General features: G+C 42.6%; 1 protein-coding gene across 15 annotated transcripts in view; it reads left to right on the plus strand.

The window, feature by feature from the left end:
- The window catches only part of SRGAP2 (SLIT-ROBO Rho GTPase activating protein 2), a 260,896-nt gene that overhangs the window by 100,478 nt on the left and 140,852 nt on the right, over positions 1-19,566 (plus strand). The gene's annotated exons all lie outside the window — the stretch shown is intronic.

Consider the following 19,566-nt stretch of genomic DNA (forward strand, 5'->3'; position numbering starts at 1 on the left):
TAATTAGAAGAAATAAATGATGTTGAGGCCATTACATCTAAATCCCTGTCTAGGTAGCTGCTAAGGTCTATTTCTTCTACATTTAGTTTATTTTATACAACTGGCCCATTCACTTGGTTCCCAGTGCCATTGCCCTAGTTTAGATCATCATCTTTTTTGCCTGAATGATTGCAGTATTTACTAGATCTTCTATAGCAGAGATTTTCAACCCTGGCTGCATATTAGAATTCCCTGGAGAACTTTAAAAAAAATACAGAAATCTGGGCCCCACTCCAGACCAATTAAATGAGAATCTCTGGGAGTGAGGCCTGGGTAACAGGGTGGTGTAAAAGCTTCCCAGGTGATTCTAATGAACAGCCAGCATTGAGGATCACAGTCCACAGCAGGGGTGTCCAATCTTTTGGTCTCCCTGGGCCACATTGGAAGAAGAAGAATTGTCTTGGGCCACCCATAAAATATGCTAATACAATAGCTGATGAGCTTAAAAAAAATTGCAAAAAAACCTCATAATATTTTAAGAAAGTTTACAAATTTCCATTGGGCTGCATTCAAAGCCATCCTGGCCCCCATGCAGCCCACAGGCCGTAGGTTGGACAAGCTTGGTCTACAGTTTCTCTCCATTCCAATCTGCCTGCTCCATTGTGATCGGAGTTAATCTTCCTGGAACACACTGGCGATCAGAGAATTTCTTTCTGCAAAACTTTCAATGTCTCTCCATTGTCTATGTTCTTTTTATTATGATTATTATTATTTTTAGAGATAAGGTCTTGCTCTGTCACCCAGGCTGAAGTACAATAGCGTGATCTTGGCTCCCTGCAGCCTCAAACTCTTGGGCTCTAGTGATCCTCCTGCCTCAGCCTACCTCCTGAGTAGCTGGGACTGCAGGTGTGCACCATCATACCCAGCTATTTTTATTTTATTTTAATTTTTGTAGAGACAGGGTTTCGCTATGTTGCCCAGTTTGGTCTCAAACTCCTGGCCTTAAGTGATCCTCCCACCTCATCCTTCCAAAGTGCTGGAATTACAGGTGTGAGCCACCACACCCAGCCCATCTATGTTTTTGATATCAAATTGTAGTTTCTCAGTGTCAGCATCATCTGTACTGTTAGAAATGCAGTATCTTAGGTCCTACTCCAGTCCTTATAACAAGATCCCACAACATAGCATGTGATTTGTGTGCACATTGACATTTGGGAAATGCTGTTCCATTCACAAAGGTGCACGCTTTTTGGCTTGGTCTTTAAGCCCCTCTACATCTGGAAAGCCTCAAACAGGTTTCCAACCTTATTTCTTGTTTCTGTTCCACTATACCCGAGCCAAACAGAACATTCACTCCAGTGGGTCACTGGCATCCTGTTACTTGAGGTTATGTGGTCAGTCTTTCCATCTTTGCATGTCTAAGCCATGCCCATGTCTTAAGACCCATCTCAGGTGCTCCCTGTTCCAGGAAACTTTCCTGATTCTCCCAGAAGGAAGAAAGTTCTCCATCTTCTGAATTCTTACAGCATTTTATTTGTTCTTCTCTTAGGGCATTCAGCACTATCTACCTTCTGTTATCTTCTCTGAGTGGACTGTATAAGTTAGTTTGATCTTCTGGTGTCCCACGGTGCCTAGTATAATATGTGGTGTATAGTAGATGCGCACTAAATATTGTGGAATAAATAAATGAATGAATGAATTTGAAATTAGTGCCAAGTGTATCTTATTTTCCCCATTTTCTATTTTTGTTTATTGCCTTAATAATACAGGACACAAATTATCCTTTAAAAGCCAGCTCTGTGCAATGAAGATGGGGTTAAGGTTGAGGAGAACATGACATCTCAAAATAAGCCAGAATGAAAATTTCCTCCAGAGGTTTTTTTCCTCAGAGTTTCTTATCTTTCCCAAGTCTTATTCTCTTTATGATAAGAGAATCATCTGATAAAAAAATGTTATTTTAGTATGTGATAAATGAAGACTTAGGGGAGGAATCATTTGCTTTAGAAAATGATTCAAAGTTGGATTTATTCTGTTGGTAATCTCATCCTAAATTTAAAATAGCATTTGATTTTTAGTACTATATCATATTCTCAGCTTATGGACGTATTTGTTACAAATTAAGGTTCAGATGTGTTAATCTCCAAGTCATCTTGTGTCCGGAATTGGTGGGTTCTTGGTCTCACTGACTTCAAGAATGAGGCTGCGGACCCTTGCGGTGAGTGTTACAGCTCTTAAGGTGGTGTGTCTGGAGTCTGTCCCTTCTGATGTTCAGATGTGTTCGGAGTTTCTTCCTTCTGGTGGGTTCGTGGTCTCGCTGGCTCAGGAGTGAAGCTGCAGACCTTCACGGTGAGTGTTACAGCTCTTAAGGCAGCGCGTCTGGAGTTGTTCGTTCCTCCCGGTGGGCTTGTGGCCTCGCTGGGCTCAGGAGTGAAGCTGCAGATCTTTGCGGTGAGTGTTACAGCTCATAAAAGCAGCGTGGACCCAAAAAGTGAGCACTAGCAAGATTTATTGCAAAAAGCAAAAGAACAAACCTTCCACCGTGTGGAAGGGGACCCGAGCGGGTTGCCAATGTTGGCTCGGGCAGCCTGCTTTTAGTCTCTTATCTGGCCCCACCCACATCCTGCTGATTGGTAGAGCCGAGTGGCCTGTTTTGTCAGGGTACTGATTGGTGCATTTACAATCTCTGAGATAGATACAAAGGTTCTCCACCTCCCCATCAGATTAGTTAGATACAGAGTTTTGACACACAGGTTCTCTAAGGCCCCACCAGAGCAGCTAGATACAGAGTGTCGATTGGTGCATTCACAAACCTTGAGTTAAACACAGGGTGCTGATTGGTGTGTTTACAAACCTTGAGCTAGATACAGAGTGCCGATTGGTGTATTTACAATCTCTGAGCTAGACATAAAGGTTCTCCACATCCTCACCAGAGCAGCTAGATACAGAGTGTCGATTGGTGCACTCACAAATCTTGAGCTAAACACAGGGTGCTGATTGGTGTATTTACAAACCTTGAGCTAGATTCAGAGTGCCGATTGGTGTATTTACAGTCCTTGAGCTAGACATAAAGGTTCTCCATGTCCTCACCAGAGCAGCTAGATACAGAGTGTCGATTGGTGCACTTACAAACCTTGAGCTAAACACAGGGTGCTGATTGGTGTGTTTACAAACCTTGAGCTAGATATAGAGTGCCGATTGGTGTATTTACAATCCTTGAGCTAGACATAAAGGTTCTCCACGTCCTCACTAGAGCAGCTAGATACAGAGTGTCGATTGGTGCACTCACAAACCTTGAGCTAAACACAGGGTGCTGATTGGTGTATTTACAATCCCTGAGCTACATATAAAGACTCTCCATGTCCCCACCAGACTCAGGAGCCCAGTTGGCTTCATCTAGTGGATCCCGCACCGGGGCTGCAGGTGGAGCTGCCTGCCAGTCCTGCGCTGTGCGCTCGCATTCCTCAGCCCTTGGGTGGTCGATGGGACTGGGCGCCATGGAGCAGGGGGTGGTGCTCGTCGGGGAGGCTCCGGCCGCACAGGAGCCCATGGAGTGGGTGGGAGGCTCAGACATGGCGGGCTGCAGGTCCCGAGCCCTGCCCCGCGGGAAGGCAGCTAAGGCCCAGTGAGAAATCGAGCACAGCGCCGATGGGCCGGCACTGCTGGGGGACTCAGTACACCCTCCGCAGCCACTGGCCCGGGTGCTAAGTCCCCCATTGCCCGGGGCCAGCAGGGCTGGCCGGCTGCTCCGAGTGCGGGGCCCACCAAGCCCACGCCCACCCGGAACTCCAGCTGGCCCGCAAGCGCCGCACGCAGCCCCGGTTCCCGCTCGTGCCTCTCCCTCCACACCTCCCTGCAAGCTGAGGGAGTGGGCTCCAGCCTTGGCCAGCCCAGAAAGGGGCTCCCACAGTGCAGGGGGGGGTGCTGAAGGGCTCCTCGAATTCCATTAAAGTGGGAGCCCAGGCAGGGGAGGTGCCGAGAGCAAGCGAGGGCTCTGAGGACTGCCAGCATGCTGTCACCTCTCAATCTGAATTGTTCTAATTAAGATCACATACTAGGAATAGGGTGATTTCTCCAAGTTTAGAAGAATTGATTTATTTTCTGATAAAGATGGTGCTTGGCAACATTTTTTCCTCAAATAACCAGTGAGTATTTATTGATTGACCAGTTCTGTGCTTGTACAAGGCATTGGAAAATACAAGAGAAGTTTAGGGAGTCATTATGTGGTTGGAGAGAAGATTTTGAATACAGGAAGCAATTAGAGCATAAAGCAGTAATGATCTCATTAATTGGTGTTATGTACAACATAGATCTGATGAGAGGTCAGAGATGGTTAAAGGTTCTGGAATAGTCTGGAAAGTTGTCATGAAGCAGGTGGGACCTAGGCTTGAGAGGTAGATTTGTGTGGCAGAGGAGAGAACAGCAAGTGCAGGTGAGAGGAAGCAGGAATATTTGGTGATGAGAGGGTGTAGGGGCTAGTGTGGGATCCAGCTTTATTAAAGGGAAGGTTCCTAACACATTCATCTAACTGATTTCCATTGCACATTCCTTGAACTCCTTTGTGCCTTGGAGTGTAGCAGGGAACAAACTGCTACACTTAGCACTTAGCACTTAGATGAAGAAATGGGCATTTAACAAATCACACAATTAGATATGTAATTTAAAGTTGGGGTAAGTGTTGTGGAAGGAAAGTATTTAATACAAGGTGGCACAAGAACCTGGAAGAGGGCAACTTTTCCACTTTATAACTGGTTTACTCCAATAGCTTCCTGCCTGATCGTATTCTGGGTAACAATCAGTCTACTTATTCAACAAATTACTTTTAAATACCTACTGAGTACTGTGCTCTGTGTTGATTCCTATAGGAACTAACATAAACTTAGGAATTCCTGTTTAAGCGGAGCATGGTGACTTATGCCTGTAACCCCAGCACTTTGAGAGGGTAAGATAGGAGGATCTCCTGAGGCCAGGAGTTTGAGACCAGCCTAGGCAACATAGCAAGAACCCATCTCTACAAAAAATAAAAAATTAGCTCAGCATGGTGATGCACGCCTGTAGTCCTAACTTCTCAGGAGGTGGGAAGATCGCTTCACTCCAGGAGTTGGAGCCTACAGTGAGCTATGACTGCACCGCTGCACACCAGCCTGGGTGACAGAGTGAGACCCTGTGTCTTAAAAAAAAAAAAAAAAAATCCCTGGTTAACAGGGAAAAGAGCTATGTAAATAGTATAATGTGAAAAGAGCTTTAGTAGAGATATGAGAACACAGCTATTTTCAAGAGCAGTGGAAAATAAGGTTAAATAAGTAGAGTAGACCCCAAATGATAGCTCTTTGATAGCAAGCAGAGAAGTTCAGATTGGATGTGGCAGCATTTTAGTGGGTCCTCTGGGTTCTTAGGTGGGGAGAGAGACACGAGGAAAACAGAAGGCCAGGATGAAGGTTTTGGGGTAATCTACACACAAAGTAAGAGCAAAAAAAAAAAAAAAAAGTTGGGGGAGTGGAAAGGAAGTAGGAATATATTCAGAAGGTATTCAAGAAACTAAATAGGACTGGATAACTGACTGGATAAAGCATAGAACCATAATGGTCAGAGGTGACCCAGTGTCTCTACCCTGGTGACCTAGAAGAATTGTGGCATTCACGATAGAAGTGGGGGTGTTGAGGGAAGATCTGTTTTGAATGGTGATCCTACTTTGAACGTTTTGGGTGTAGAGCAGTACGAGGCCATCAGGTATCCAGGTGGAGACGGCATACTGCTGAGGTAAGAGGTTATGACTGGGGATAGCTAGCAGAATCTTCGGAGTAAAAGTGATTGTGGGAGAGATGAAAGTATATGAATTCAGGGAAGAGAAAGAGGAGAACAAAGAACTAAATCCAGGACCCCAGGCTTAGACAATAAAAGTTTTGCATTGGTAGTAAAAGTTACTATGAGGAGAAGCAAAAGCTACCTGAAGAGAGAGAGAATAGTTTTGTTTTTTAAGGCAAAGGGTAGAAGGTAAGGTGGGAAAGTGGCGTCTGATGGAACTAGAAGTGTTTTAAGTAGAAGATCTGTAAGAGCAATTTCTTATTGATACTCTCTCATGTATAAGGTATTGTGAGAGATGCAAAGATGACTAAAACAAGCCCCAAACCCAGATGTTTTCAATCTCTTAGGGTGAAACATATGAAATTGCTGGGTTTTTTTGTAAGGCAAAATGGCAATTTCATATGGTACAGCCTGGTAGAAGAGGAGATAGAACATATGTACAAATGCATTTAATACAGGCAAGGTGGTGAGAAACTCAATAAGAGAGGCTCAGGCAACATCCTACTTTCATGCATAATTTATTCCTAAAAGTGTATACAGAAGTCAAATGGTTGAATGTCTAACTACAGTTTTATGTGGGGTAGGTAGGTTCTATTATTATAAATAAGTGTATATGTGAAATTCGAAATTATCCCTCACCTGATATATTTTTAGCATTGTATACCTTGTCTTTAGTTCTGTTTGTTTTTCCACAATTAAACTCGTGGCCTGCCTGCTCAAGTTCAGTGAATACCTAAAGAGTCCACGTAGCTGATGAGTTCTGCCCTTATCTTAGTAGTACAGTGATGAGACCTCTACTTCTCAATGCAACATTAGTAACAGCACTTTTGTTTTTCCATTTCCACTCATTTTTGTGTTGCAAAAGATAACCAAGTGTTAAAATGTGTGCACAGCACAAGCATTGCTGTGCAGAGACAACCATCCTGCTGAAACAGAATTGGTACCTGGCAGTCAGCATCACTAAGACAAGCTTGAAACATTTGCTGGCAACTGAAAATTTGACATTGGCATAGGAAAGGCATCTTAGGCATGTCTGATTTGGTAAAGATATAAGTTTGGCTGATGTAATAGACCCCAAGTAATAATGGCATACACAAGATAGAGGTTGATTTCTCTCTGATGTCATAGTCTAGGTGTTAGCCATCCAGGGCTGTCAGGCTTCTTATTCCATCCCGAGAGTGTTATCCTTTTCTGTATGACCCAAGATGGCTCACTGCCACCATGTTCTCATTCCAGCCAGCAGGAAAAGGCAACAGGACGAGGGGCAGGTATGGCCTTATTTTTTAAAGGTGCACTCTGGAAGTGGCACACACAGCTCTTCAACTCATATCTGACTGGCCAGAACTTAGTCACATGGTTATGCTGAACTGCAAGGGAGGCTGGGAAGTGTAGTTATTGTTCTGGGTGACTATAAAGTAGAATTTCTCTAAATATAGAAGAAGGGGAAATATTGGGGGACAATCAGCAGCATCTGCCATGGTGTATGAAAGGACAAGTGTAGGAAAGACCATGGCCACCCATCCATACAGAGTGCCACAGGTGCACAAAGAAGAGAGATTTCTTCTGATTGGAGGACTGGATAGGGCTTTAGGGAGGTCAAGTTCAATGGATGGGAGATAAAAAAATTAAAATGCCAGTGCTAGGCATTGATCCTTTAAGCTTAATACAGTTGAGACAATGGAGAAGTTGTAGAAAGAAGGTGAAAAGATGGGAAAGGAAGCATTTTAGATAGAGCAGTATTAGAAAAGGCTAACAGAAGTGAGAACAAAGGCTGATGGATAACTTATCTGTTTTGCTGAAGAACAGGAATTATAAATGTGATAGTGAAATAAACCTGGAAAAGATAGGGGCCAGAAGATTAAAGAGGTCTATGAATGCCAGGCGACAGGGTTCGGGCTTTATTCTGTAAGCATGGGGGACCATTGATAGTTTTTGAGCAAGGAACATAATTATGGCTGTGCTTTCGAAGGGTAACTATGGCAACGATGCATATGATCAATTGGAGCAGAGAGACTGGAAGGAGGAGGACCTGTTAAGAAAGGAGTCCAGTGGTGAGGTTAATGTGGGCTGAAACTGAGGTCATACCCTTGGAAATAGACAAGATGGGGCCAAGTGTGAGGACAAGAATCAATGGAATTCAAAGAAGCTGGGACAGAGAAAGTGCTCTTGGTTTCCTGGGTCTCTGGAGTGACAATAGTACTGTATTTTCATTCAGTTGGTGAACTGTAGCCTTGATTTTGCTGACTCTAGGACTGGTCCCAGAATAGTTCATTCTCTGCCCAGAACATCTCAGCGGGCACTCATCACCTCCCCCGGAGCTGTAGCAGCTGTTGGGCTAGCAATGCCATGAATTTGTCTTCCTGTACTGCCAGGAGAGCAGCTGCCAGCAGCAACTCTGAACAGACCCATCTCAGGGACGTGGAAACTATTCAACTTGGGATGCAGCAGGTTGGCCAGGGCTGAATTCAGTCCACATGGATTCATCTCACCCTTTTCCAGGCCACTTTCTTACCCTGGCTGGGTTTCAGCCACTCATACTGCGTTAGGTTGGGTATTTTCTTACAGTTCTAAGTGATTGCATTTAGGGATGGACGCTGCTGAACTGCGTTCTTCATCTTTTGGACACCTCCTCCCCTGGAAGCCATTACGCTGTCAGCCTTTGGCTTTGCTTCCTACTCTGCTCTGCTCCTGCTCACCTTTTGTCCTCTCCCACATTGCGCTCAGTGCAGACATCCTCATTAAAGCCTGTACAGTTCTGACTCCATGGCAGCCTGACCCTCTGGTTCCATCCCTCTCCTTCTTTCTCCTTCCCCCAGAGAATGAGAGATGCTGCAGATAGAACTGTAGCGATTATTTGACCCTATGTTATTCTGCTTTGTTTAAGACAGGTAACATGGCTTCCCCCATCCCTGTGAATTGTGGGAAGACCCTGCTAATGTCTGAAATTCTGTCAGCCTGGTTTGATCAAGAGCAGTGGTAAAGTATTATGCGAGGGTAGGAAGCCTTTCTAGGGAAGATGTTCTTGCATTTTCTTTGGCTCCTTGAAGAGCATAAATGTATTCCTATTTGTTGCTGAGCCTTTGATTGTCTCTTTTAAGTGGAATCTGTGTTAATATGGCCCAGCAGGACTCTAATTGATAATGCATTGGCTGTTTGTTTGTTTTTTTTTTTAAATAGACTTGCTGTAAATTACCTTTCGGTCATAGCTCACTTGGTTTTGATCTCCTGCTTTTAATAGCTCATTTTTTTAGGTAGCTTTTTTTTTTCTGTTGAGTTTTTAGAGCAATACTTCTACATTTCTGTCCTGCTGTGTTCCTTGCAGAGACCTTCTGCTATTTTATAACCCACTGTCAGTATCTTTTCAGCGTTTCTCCCAGCTTCTTTCTCTCCTCAACACATATTTGTTGACTATTTTAGAGGTTTTGTTCTAAACTCTTAGAGGACAGAGATCCAAAGAAATAAAAGGAGTAGTTCTTTCCCATATGAAATTATAATCTAGTCAGGGAGAAATTAAATTCAAATACAAGAATACAAATCTTCAACATAAGGCTATATGTAGTAAGTACTAAGTATATGCTGCAGAAGAGATGAGGCTCAGTTGATGTAGACAGGAAACTTCAGTAAGGAAATGAGATTTGAACAAAGCTTTAAAGAAAATGGCTCTTGAGAGGGAGGGGAAGATACTCTAGGAAAAAGGGGCACAGCTAGAAGAAAGAACAAAGCACTTTTGAGGTACAGTGAGTAGACTGGTTTAGCTGGGAGAATAAGTGGATGTGGAAGAAGTGGACAAAGGTAGATGGGTTTGTATTGTGGAGGGCCTTGACTCTTGATTAGGGATTTGGCTCTATGCAATAGACACTGGAAACCACTGATGGTTTAAATAGGTATGAACTCTGATTAAGGAAGATTAACCTAGTGGTAGTTTGCTAAATGACAAGAAACATGAGACCAAGGAAACCAGTTGCTGCAGTAGATCATAAGGATCTAAATTAGGTTGGGATGGTAGGAATGAAAAGAAGGGGAATTTATCCTTCTGTCCATTTAGCAAATATATATCTTCTTACCATGTGCCAGACACATGCCAGATACCCACCCCTGTACTCCTAGAGCTTACAGTCTAGAGACAGGTGGAAAGCACCTGGTACAGGAAGAATCTACAGGAATTGCTGACTGATGGGATTCAGGTTTCAAGTGAGCTTGGAAGCCATAAAAGAAAGAGGTCTGTAAAGTGTCTTTTTGACTTGGGTGATTGATAAATTAATGGTATCTTTAAAAGAAATAGAGAGGGGCTTTTTTGTTTTTTTTGTTTTTTTTTTTTTGTTGTTGTTGTTGTTGTTGTTTGGGTTTTTTTTTAGATGGAGTTTCGCTCTTGTTGCCCAGGCTGGAGTGCAATGGCACGATCTCAGCTCACTGCATCCTCTGCCTCCCAGGTTCAAGCTATTCTCCTGCCTCAGCCTCCTGAGTAGCTGGGATTATAGGCATGCGCCACGACGCCAGGCTAATTTTGTATTTTTAGTAGAGACAGGGCTTCTCCATGTTGGTCAGGTTGGTCTTGAACTCCTGACCTCAGGTGATCCGCACACCTTGGCCTCCCAAAGTGCTGGGATTACAGGCATAAGCCTCTGTGCCCAGCTGAAATCTAGTGTTTTTTAACAGAAGTTAGGAGAAAGAATTGTTTTTGAAGGAGTAAAATATGAGAAATTTGGTTTTGGATTTTAAGTTTAAGGTGTTGGAAGAGTATTGAAGCTGAAATTTCTAGTAGTTGACAAAATGAATGGCTGTATGCAGGGCTAAAGAGATTTTTTGGCTGTTGGTAGAGATTTGCACACGTGCACAGAGGGGATGGTTGAAACTGTGGAAATATTTGTGATTTCCAATAGTAAGGGTTTAGAAGAACAAAGGGGAAACTTCCTTTGTATCATCTGTGATACTCAGATTACAGAGTGTATAAAGGAATTTAAATGATATATTTATTTGTGTATCATTGAGTATACATTTTGGGAACCTAATTATGTATCAGGAATTGGGTTTAGTACTGGAGATAGAGAAGAATAAGACAATCTCCTATTTTCACTAATATTAAATTAGCAGAATATCAAGGAGGTAGACATAGAAAGTAAACTTTCTTGTTTGGCTGGTTATCAGTTGTGTCACTATTGGAAGTGATGTGAGGGAGCAGGGCCTAGGTATCTTAAGAATTTGGTAGACATTCAACCTGCAATACTCCTTTCAGTGGGAGGTTAGTTACACAATTAATTAAAGAAAAATTATTGTAGAGTCTGTGTTCTCGGCTTCAGGCCCAGTATTTGAATGTGCGCCATCTCTGTAGTTACATCACTACTGCGGATGGGTTCCTCCCCTGGAGTTGAGTTCAAAGTCATTCACCAGTCTCACAGGATAGCATTGGGTTGAAAAGCATAGAGTCAGCTGGCCATGGAAAATGTTATAGTTGTGGTTGCAAATCGGAAAAGGGTGGAAGACCAGAAGGTTCCTCATTGACTTATGGAGTGACCTTGAGAAGGAAAGTACCAGGAAACATGAAGCTCCCGGGAGGGAGAACCCCTGACTTCCTGGGACCAGTGCGTCACTCACTCATTTTGGACATATTTGGGAGCTGTTTGTTCCCTCAGGAAAGATTTTGCCCAGATGTAGCATCTGGTGTTGCAAGGGTTGGCTTCCCTTCTCCATGGCTCAAGATGCCTTTGTTCAGAAATTAACAGAAGGTTCTTTGGTGTGTTTTGCATGGGCCCAGTTCATGTAGAACCTTAGGTCATTGTTGAGTCCTTTTTGGAGGAAGAGTTGGGAGGACTTCTCACACATGGGTAAAGCAGAATGGAAGAGATGCAAGAAGGCCATTTGGGAATCAGCAAGACAGGGTGATCCAGTCTTTGGAAGAGAGAAAGAATTCAGTTAAAAGTTCTTTGGGAAGCTTTGTGACTTTGTGTGGGAAAAACCAGAGCTTTGAGCCAGAAAAACTTGGGTCTGAATCTTGTCTCTTCTACTCCTAGCTTGTGACCTTAAGCAAGTCACTTAACCCCTGTTAGCCTCAATTTCTTACCTGTGAAATGTTGACAGTAATACTTACCTTGAAGGATTCTTCTAAGGATATATATAATGTATATACAGCACTAGCTAATGTTTGTGACTTAATGGATGCTCAATAAATGGTAGCTGATATAATTATCAGGAAAAGTCAATCCTGATAGTTAAGATCAGCCACAGAAGAGTCAGCCCTGATAGTTAAGATCACAAGTTCTGGGAACCAGATTTCCTGGGTTCACAATCCTGGATTTCTCCCACTTACTTGCTGTGTGATTTTAGATGAAAGGTTTTAATCACCTCAGTATCCTCGTTTGCAAAATGAAGATAATATTCATAACTACCTTATGGAGTTGTTATGCTGGTTAAGTGAATTAATAATATGTGAAACACTTAGGACAGCTTGGCACATAGTAAATGTAAATAGTAGCAACTATTATCCCTATCCTTAGGATTTGGGCCTGAGCACAGCTGTACTGGGTAAAACACTGGTATATTAGATACACTAGTCATTCCTTGTGCAGAGTTAAGTATTCCTAAGCCTGGCTGGGTAATATGTCAGTTTCCATTTTCTTCAGACCCCTGTGGGCCCTCATGAATGACAAATTCATCCCCTACCCTGATTTTTATGGTATAGCTACATTGGGCAGGACATAGGCAATTATGTGACTCTGTGTAATTGCATGGTCAGTCCCTATAAAAACTCAGCAATTGTATGTTTTGTTCTGTAAGGTGTCATATAGTTCAACCTTGGTGGGTTACTTTTAGATCCAGGCTCATAATCATGAAGAGGAAGACATTTGTCATACAACCACTCTCTGATTTTCTCGTCCTCTTGGAGTTAATAGTTAGCCCTATTGCCAAATTGCTGAGTTTCTATAAAGATATACTGTTGAGGCCCACAGGTCCCAATTTTGACTTGGGCAAATAAAAGAAGGCCAGTCCTATTCAGCCTCCTGCAGTATCTACCATCGAGGCCAGCAGGCCAGTGCAGTACAAACCTTAGTCATGAACATAACAGTATGTGGTTTACTGGGTTGTTTGTCTCATGAGGCCAAACAGAAGCTCCCAAGCTTCTGCATAAATGGCTTTATATCTTCCTTTTAGGGTAGGGAATGATAAGAGGGCAGGTTAGAAGCAAAATATGCTTTTATGAGCAATTGGGAGGATGTTGGAGACTCCTGAGAGTTTCCTGTGTCTCCTAGGATTTGCCACTGGAATGTCAGCAGGCCATACCTCAGGCGTTCAGCTCCATGGAGCAAAGACAGTAGTGATCACGTTCCTTGACAACAGTGCTAGTGTGCGGGGAGCTTTTAGTTTTCCTTTTCTCTGCTCCTGTAAGCCCCATAATAATTCTGTAGCAGACACAGGAAGCAATGTGTCTAACTACTACTAGGCAATGTGTTCTTGGGATTTTTAATTCTCAGGAATTCGCAGCCAATTAAATGAATTTACTTTGATCCAGTTCTCTTTTCAAGGCAAAAGCTGTGTCATCTTATTGGGAGCTGACTGTGTTAAGTGGGAGGGTTTACAAGATAAGAAGAAAAGACAGTCTCTGCCATACGTGTTTTTATAATTGAAATGGGGGAAATCGGGCAGGCTGAGAGAGAATAATAAGAACACATGTGCACAGGAATTTAAAAATAGCACCCCATTTAAAGCAGGTTCCAGTAGTCACCAGGAAAAGAAGAAAGGTGGAGTACTCAGGAGGGACTTGTACTTGGTTCAGTCAGGGAAAGGTAAAAGATAGTATAGTTATGTTCTCAATTAGATTTGTTCCCTGGTTAATTGAAGTAAAGACTTTAATATCTAATTCCTACACTGCACAGAAGTATCACACGTTGAAAAGAAACAGTGTGACATGGGAAGGACTCACTGTTAACGAAAGATTTAGAGAGAATGAAAAAAAAAGTAGGATTTGGGTTTTTCAGAGTTGAAATAGGTTCATCTTTTCTGCTAGCTCCTCCTTTTATACATCTCCACTGTCGTTGCTCCTTGGGTTTTAAATTCAGGGAGAATCAATGAGCACAGTTCTGCGTCTTAATATATTTAGGGTGCAGCTGTTTAAAGAGCCAGGATTAGAAAATGAATCGAACAAACTAGGATTATCTTCAACAGTAGGATGCTGAGCTGTGTTTGCTGATTCCTGCTTAAGCAGTCGGGACAGGGCATCCTTGCATGAAATTCAGACATCCCTCCCTGGCAGCCTCTGTGGTAAAGTAGAGGTTGCAGAACAAGTCTGGCAGCTCTCAGCCCGAACCCTTGTAAACAACAGATGTTCATAACTAAGTTCTAGGGTGGGGGTAGGGGTTATTGTTGATGCTTGAAATTCTTTGAATTTATAGGCAGCATCTCAGGGATTTAGCAAAAGGAGGAAGTTATACAGAATTGATTTCTGCAGTGTACAGGTAGAAATGATGCCTCATGGATTTCCTTGAAGACAAAGCACAGGCTATTGTGTGGACTCTAAAACAGAGCAAGGTGAACCCAGGAAGGCAGGCACAGTTAAGAAAGGGTTGGCTTCTTAGGTGTATTGACTTCCTCCCCTCCTTCTCCTCTCTCACTCCTTTTTATACATTGACTGGATTTGTCAGTCTTGTTCTTGCTCCTGTTTTCTCCGGTAATGCGTGGAAATGTGTGTCCTTTCTTACCACAGAGTCCTAGATACATGTGCATACAAATACACAGTGTATTAGGCCATTTTTTGCGATGCTGTAAATAAATACCTGAGGCTGGGTAATTTCTAAAGAAAAAAGGTTTGATTGGCTCATGGTTCTGCAGGCTGTACAGGAGGCATGGTGCTGGTGTCTGCTTCTGGTGAGGCCTCAGGAAGCTTACAATCATGGCAGAAGGCACCGGGGAGCCAGCATGTCACATGGTGAGAGTGGGAGTGAGAGTCGGGGGAGGTCCCAGACTTTTGAACAACCAGATCTCTTGTGAACTAAGTGAGCATGAACTCACTTATCACCACAGAGATGGTGCTAAACCATTCATGAAGGATCTACCCCCATGACCCAGTCACTTCCCACCAGGCCCCACCTCCAACATTTGGAATCACATTTCAACATGAGATTTGGGGGGGGACAGACATCCAAACCATATCACATAGGAGGAAAAACACACAGGAAGAGCACACAGGTGCACTTCCCTTAGTGCCCTCTGAAGGACGCAACTCAGGTTTTTATGATATACTGATTAATGGGTTATTGTTATGGGCTTTGTCTTGGATTTTAACCTGATACTTTCTCAGTGTTGGTTTTGCTAGATGTTCATTACTTCATTAAACAGAGGTGCCGGGTGCGGTGGCTCACGCCTGTAATCCCAGCACTTTGGGAGGCCGAGGCGGGCGGATCACGAGGTCAGGAGATCGAGACCATCCTGGCTAATACGGCGAAACCCCATCTCTACTAAAAATACAAAAAATTATCCGGGTGTGGTGGCGGGTGCCTGTCGTCCCACCTACTCAGGAGGCTGAGGCAGGAGAATGGTGTGAACCCAGGAGGCGGAGCTTTCAGTGAGCCGAGATCGCGCCACTGCACTCCAGCCTGGGTGACAGAGCGAGACTCCGTCTCAAAAAAAAACAACAACAAAAAACAGAGGTGAGTGATGAGAATATGGCTTATGAAGACTTCAGTGCTGCCTCTTCTTGATCCCCATCCCCTAGTCCCCAAGCACACATACCGAGTTTCCAGCCAGATGATAAGTGCTTAGGAAACCTTCTACTTTACAGCATAGTTCAGGGAAGCCATAATAGAAAAAATATAATACATCTTTGGTAGGCTTCCTTGGCACCAAATTGACGAAGACTTTAGAAAGGTTCTTATCGTACATCAGATGAAAAAAAGCGATTTACCAGATCTGGGAATGTTTTTGAGCCACTCTAGCAAAAAACAACTGGCTTGAAAATCTTTGATAAAATCGCTTATTCTTTTGGAAGCTAAGAACATCTTTGTACAATTTTTTGTTGTTGTTGTTTTTTGTTTTTTGCGATGGAGTCTCTCACTCTGTTGCCCAGGCTGGGGTGCAATGATGCCATTTCGGCTCACTGCAACCTCTGCCTCCCAGGTTCAAGCGATTCTCGTGCCTCAGCCTCCCAAGTACCTGGGATTACAGGTGCGCACCACCATGCCTGGCTACTTTTTATATTTTTAGTAGAGATGGGGTTTTTCCACGTTGGCCAGGCTGGTCTCGAACTCCTGACCTCAGGTGATCTGCCCACCTCGACCTCCCAAACTGCTGGGATTACAGGCGTGAGCCACTGCGCCCGGCCCATCTTTGTACTATTATTCCTTCTGGAAAAGAAGTCCACTTCTGGCTGTTTTGTCCATTTGTACGAATTTGGTGAACACCAATCCTGGTATGTGAGGTTCACTTAATCTTTCAGCAAACATTTATTGAACATTTATTCTGTGCCAAGAGTTGTACAAGGAATTAAATATACATAGAAGAATAAGCTACCATTCTAGCCCATGGGAGTTATTACTTAATGTGAAATATTTTAAGTTTGTTTATATACATTTGTATGTGCTCTGATAAGGCGTAGACTTCCAGGTTGAGGAGACAGAATTGTTGGGTTATGAGTCACCCTGTTAGTCACCTTTATTATATGTGAATCAGTAATAAACACTTGACTTCATTCTCATCGCTAATGACCAATAGGTTCTCTGCAGGTTTGGGGTCACAAAGAGGTGTAGGATCCTGTTCTTTCCCTCAGGAAGCTCATGGTGTCATGTGGAAGACAGAGAGTTTATGGGAAAAAGATAACACAAAATAATATACACTTACTGCCAAAGGAGAGATGGGAGAAATGATTTCATTTTTCTCCAGAATGCAATCTGTAAACAGTTTTAAAATTTTGCCATAATGTTAGACTTACAGAAAAATTGCAGGAATAGCACAAAGAATTTTTGTATACTACCATTTTATCCAGATTGCCCCAAAATGTTAACATATTACTACATTTGCTTTATACTTCACCCTTTTCATACCCAATTCTCACACACATATTTTGTTTTTCTGAAACACTTGAGAGTAAATTGCAGACATGATGACCTTTTATCCATACATACTTTAGGGTGTATTTACTAAAAATAAGGATGTTCTTTTGCATAATCGTAGTGCAGTCATCGAAATCAGGACATACAGATTGATACAATACTATTATCTAATCAATAGACATTCAGATTTTACCAGTTGTTCTAAAAATGGCCTTTTTTGGCAAACGAAAGTCCAAGATTATGCAATTCATTCAATTGTCTTATCTCTTTACTTTCCTTTAATGTGGGATGATTTCCAAGTCTTTATATTTCAAGACATTGACATTGGCCCCGTTATTTTGTAGAATGTCCCTTAATTTGATATTTCTGGCAATTTCTGATAATTTCCTTATTATTAGATTCAAGTCACACACTTTTGGCAGGAATACCATAAAATGTAATGTCACGTTCTTCTCAGTGCATCATATCAGGAAGCACTTGCTGATGATTTGTGCCATAACTGATGATGTTAAATTTGATCATTTGGTTACAGTTGTGTCTGCTAGGTTTCTCCACCATGAAGTTGTTCTATAAGCTTTGTAATTAATGTATATATTGTGGAGAGATACTTTGAGACCATGTAAATATCAGCTTACCCTTCAACTCTTATACTCACTAGTTTTAGCATCCATTATAATTTCTTGCTTGAATCACTTTCTATTATGATGGTTACCAAATAGTCATTTTTCCAGTTTTCATCATTCCTTCTACATTTATCAGTTGCAATTCTACTGTAAGGAAGAGCTTTTCCATCACCCCCACTTTTTGGTCTGGTTGTTGGTTTATATCAGTGTGGACTTGTGGATTATTATTTTATTCAACAGGTTATAATCCTTTACCATCTTTATTTTAATGTTCATATTGTTCTATATTTGGCCAATGGAGTCCCTTCAAGCTGGCTTCTGTGTCTTATTGATATGTCCCCATCGTTCTTTGAGCACTTCCTTACTTTATGGCACAACAAGATGTTCCAGGCTTAACTTGTACTTTCCTTGCCTTTACTGTGGAGTTGACCATTTTTTCAGAGAGCCTCGGTTGCTTTTAGTGGGAAATGGTATTTAGAAACCATGGATGCTAAATATGCTCTTTGTAACTGAAGTACCATTATTTATAGTCCCTTTCAGCAGACAGAGGTAGTAGATATATGTATGTACACATAGACACATACACACACACACCCATGTACTTCTATAAATAGCTATTTCTTTATCTGTCTGTATATTTATATATATTAAAGCCTATGAGATCATATCAGTATCTTTCATTCCAATCCAATACCACATGTTTTATTTAATTTTCTCCCCTTTCCTGTTCTCTGAACAGTGAGAAACCTGGTTCCTATTATCCATAACACACATTTTCACTTAATTGCTCAGTCCTAGAGTGTACAGAAAGTTGTTTCAGAATTACTAACCCAGGCCGGGCGCGATGGCTCACACCTGTAATCCCAGTACTTTGGGAGGCCGAGGCGGGCCGATCATGAGGTCAGGAGATCAAGACCATCCTGGCTAACACGGTGAAACCCTGTCTCTACTAAAAAATACAAAAAAAAAAAATTAGCCGGGCGTGGTGGCAGGCGCCTGTGGTCCCAGCTACTGGGGAGGCTGAGGCAGGAGAATGGGGTGAACCCGGGAGGTGGAGCTTGCAGTGAGCCGAGATCGTGCCACTGCACTCCAGCCTGGGTGACAGACCGAGACTCCATATCAAAAAAAAAAAAAAAAAAAGAATTACTAACCCATGCCTCTGAAAAAGAAGACTACTGACTAGATTTTAATACTGGTTTAGAGTTCTTTTTGTTATTAGCCTTGAGGGCCAAGACACAATGTTCAAAAGTTAGCTGACTAGTTCTTTCTTTCCTATCTTAGTCTGTTTTGTGTCGCCATAACAGAATACCTGAGTCCAGGTAATTTATAAAGAAAAGAAGCTTATTTGGCTCACGACTGTGGTGGCTTGAGAGTATAAGAATGTGGCATCAGCATCTGCTCAGCTCTTGGTGGGGGCCATGTGCTGCCTGACAACATGGTGGAGAAGCTGAAAGGCTAGGGAATGAGTGAAAAGAAAGCAAACACTAGGAAGAAGCTTGCTTTACAACAACTCACTCTCTCAGGAACTAATCCAGTCCCACAAGAGTGAGAATTCATTTCCATGAGAATATTAATCTTATTCATGAAGGATTCTTCCCATGACCCAGACAACCCCCAGTGGCCCAGCCTCTCAATACCACTTGCAATTGCAATCAAATTTCAACATGAGTTTTGGAGGGAACAAACCAGATTCAAACCATAGCATCCCTCAACCTCCAGACCTTCAATGTAGTTATATTATTTGTTTGAAATATAATTTGGTTTATTTATTTGTTTGTATTTAATGTTTTCCTCTCCGGAATGGGGTCTTGACATTTCTCACTGCCAAACCTTTTCTCTTGACTAAAAAAGATGGAGCAGATTCAGGAGAAGTGAGAGACCCATGTATCCATAGATTAAGTCAGGGCTTTAGCAGAAGTCAGTGATGGGGACATAGGCCAGACATGCACTGAGAACAAACCAACCATTTTCCCCTACTTCTGGGCCAGCCCTGTCTCTAAGCAAGCCATCTTATGGATTGAGACCCTTGCCAGTTTCTCCTAAGCCTGCTCCTAGGTTCTCCTTGCCATTCTCCCTGATCACCTCTTTTGCATTTAGCGAACCAAGAATCCAGCATCAGCATCAGC

The sequence above is a fragment of the Homo sapiens genome, chromosome 1 (assembly GCF_000001405.40).
Source record: "Homo sapiens chromosome 1, GRCh38.p14 Primary Assembly".
Lineage (NCBI taxonomy): Eukaryota > Metazoa > Chordata > Mammalia > Primates > Hominidae > Homo > Homo sapiens.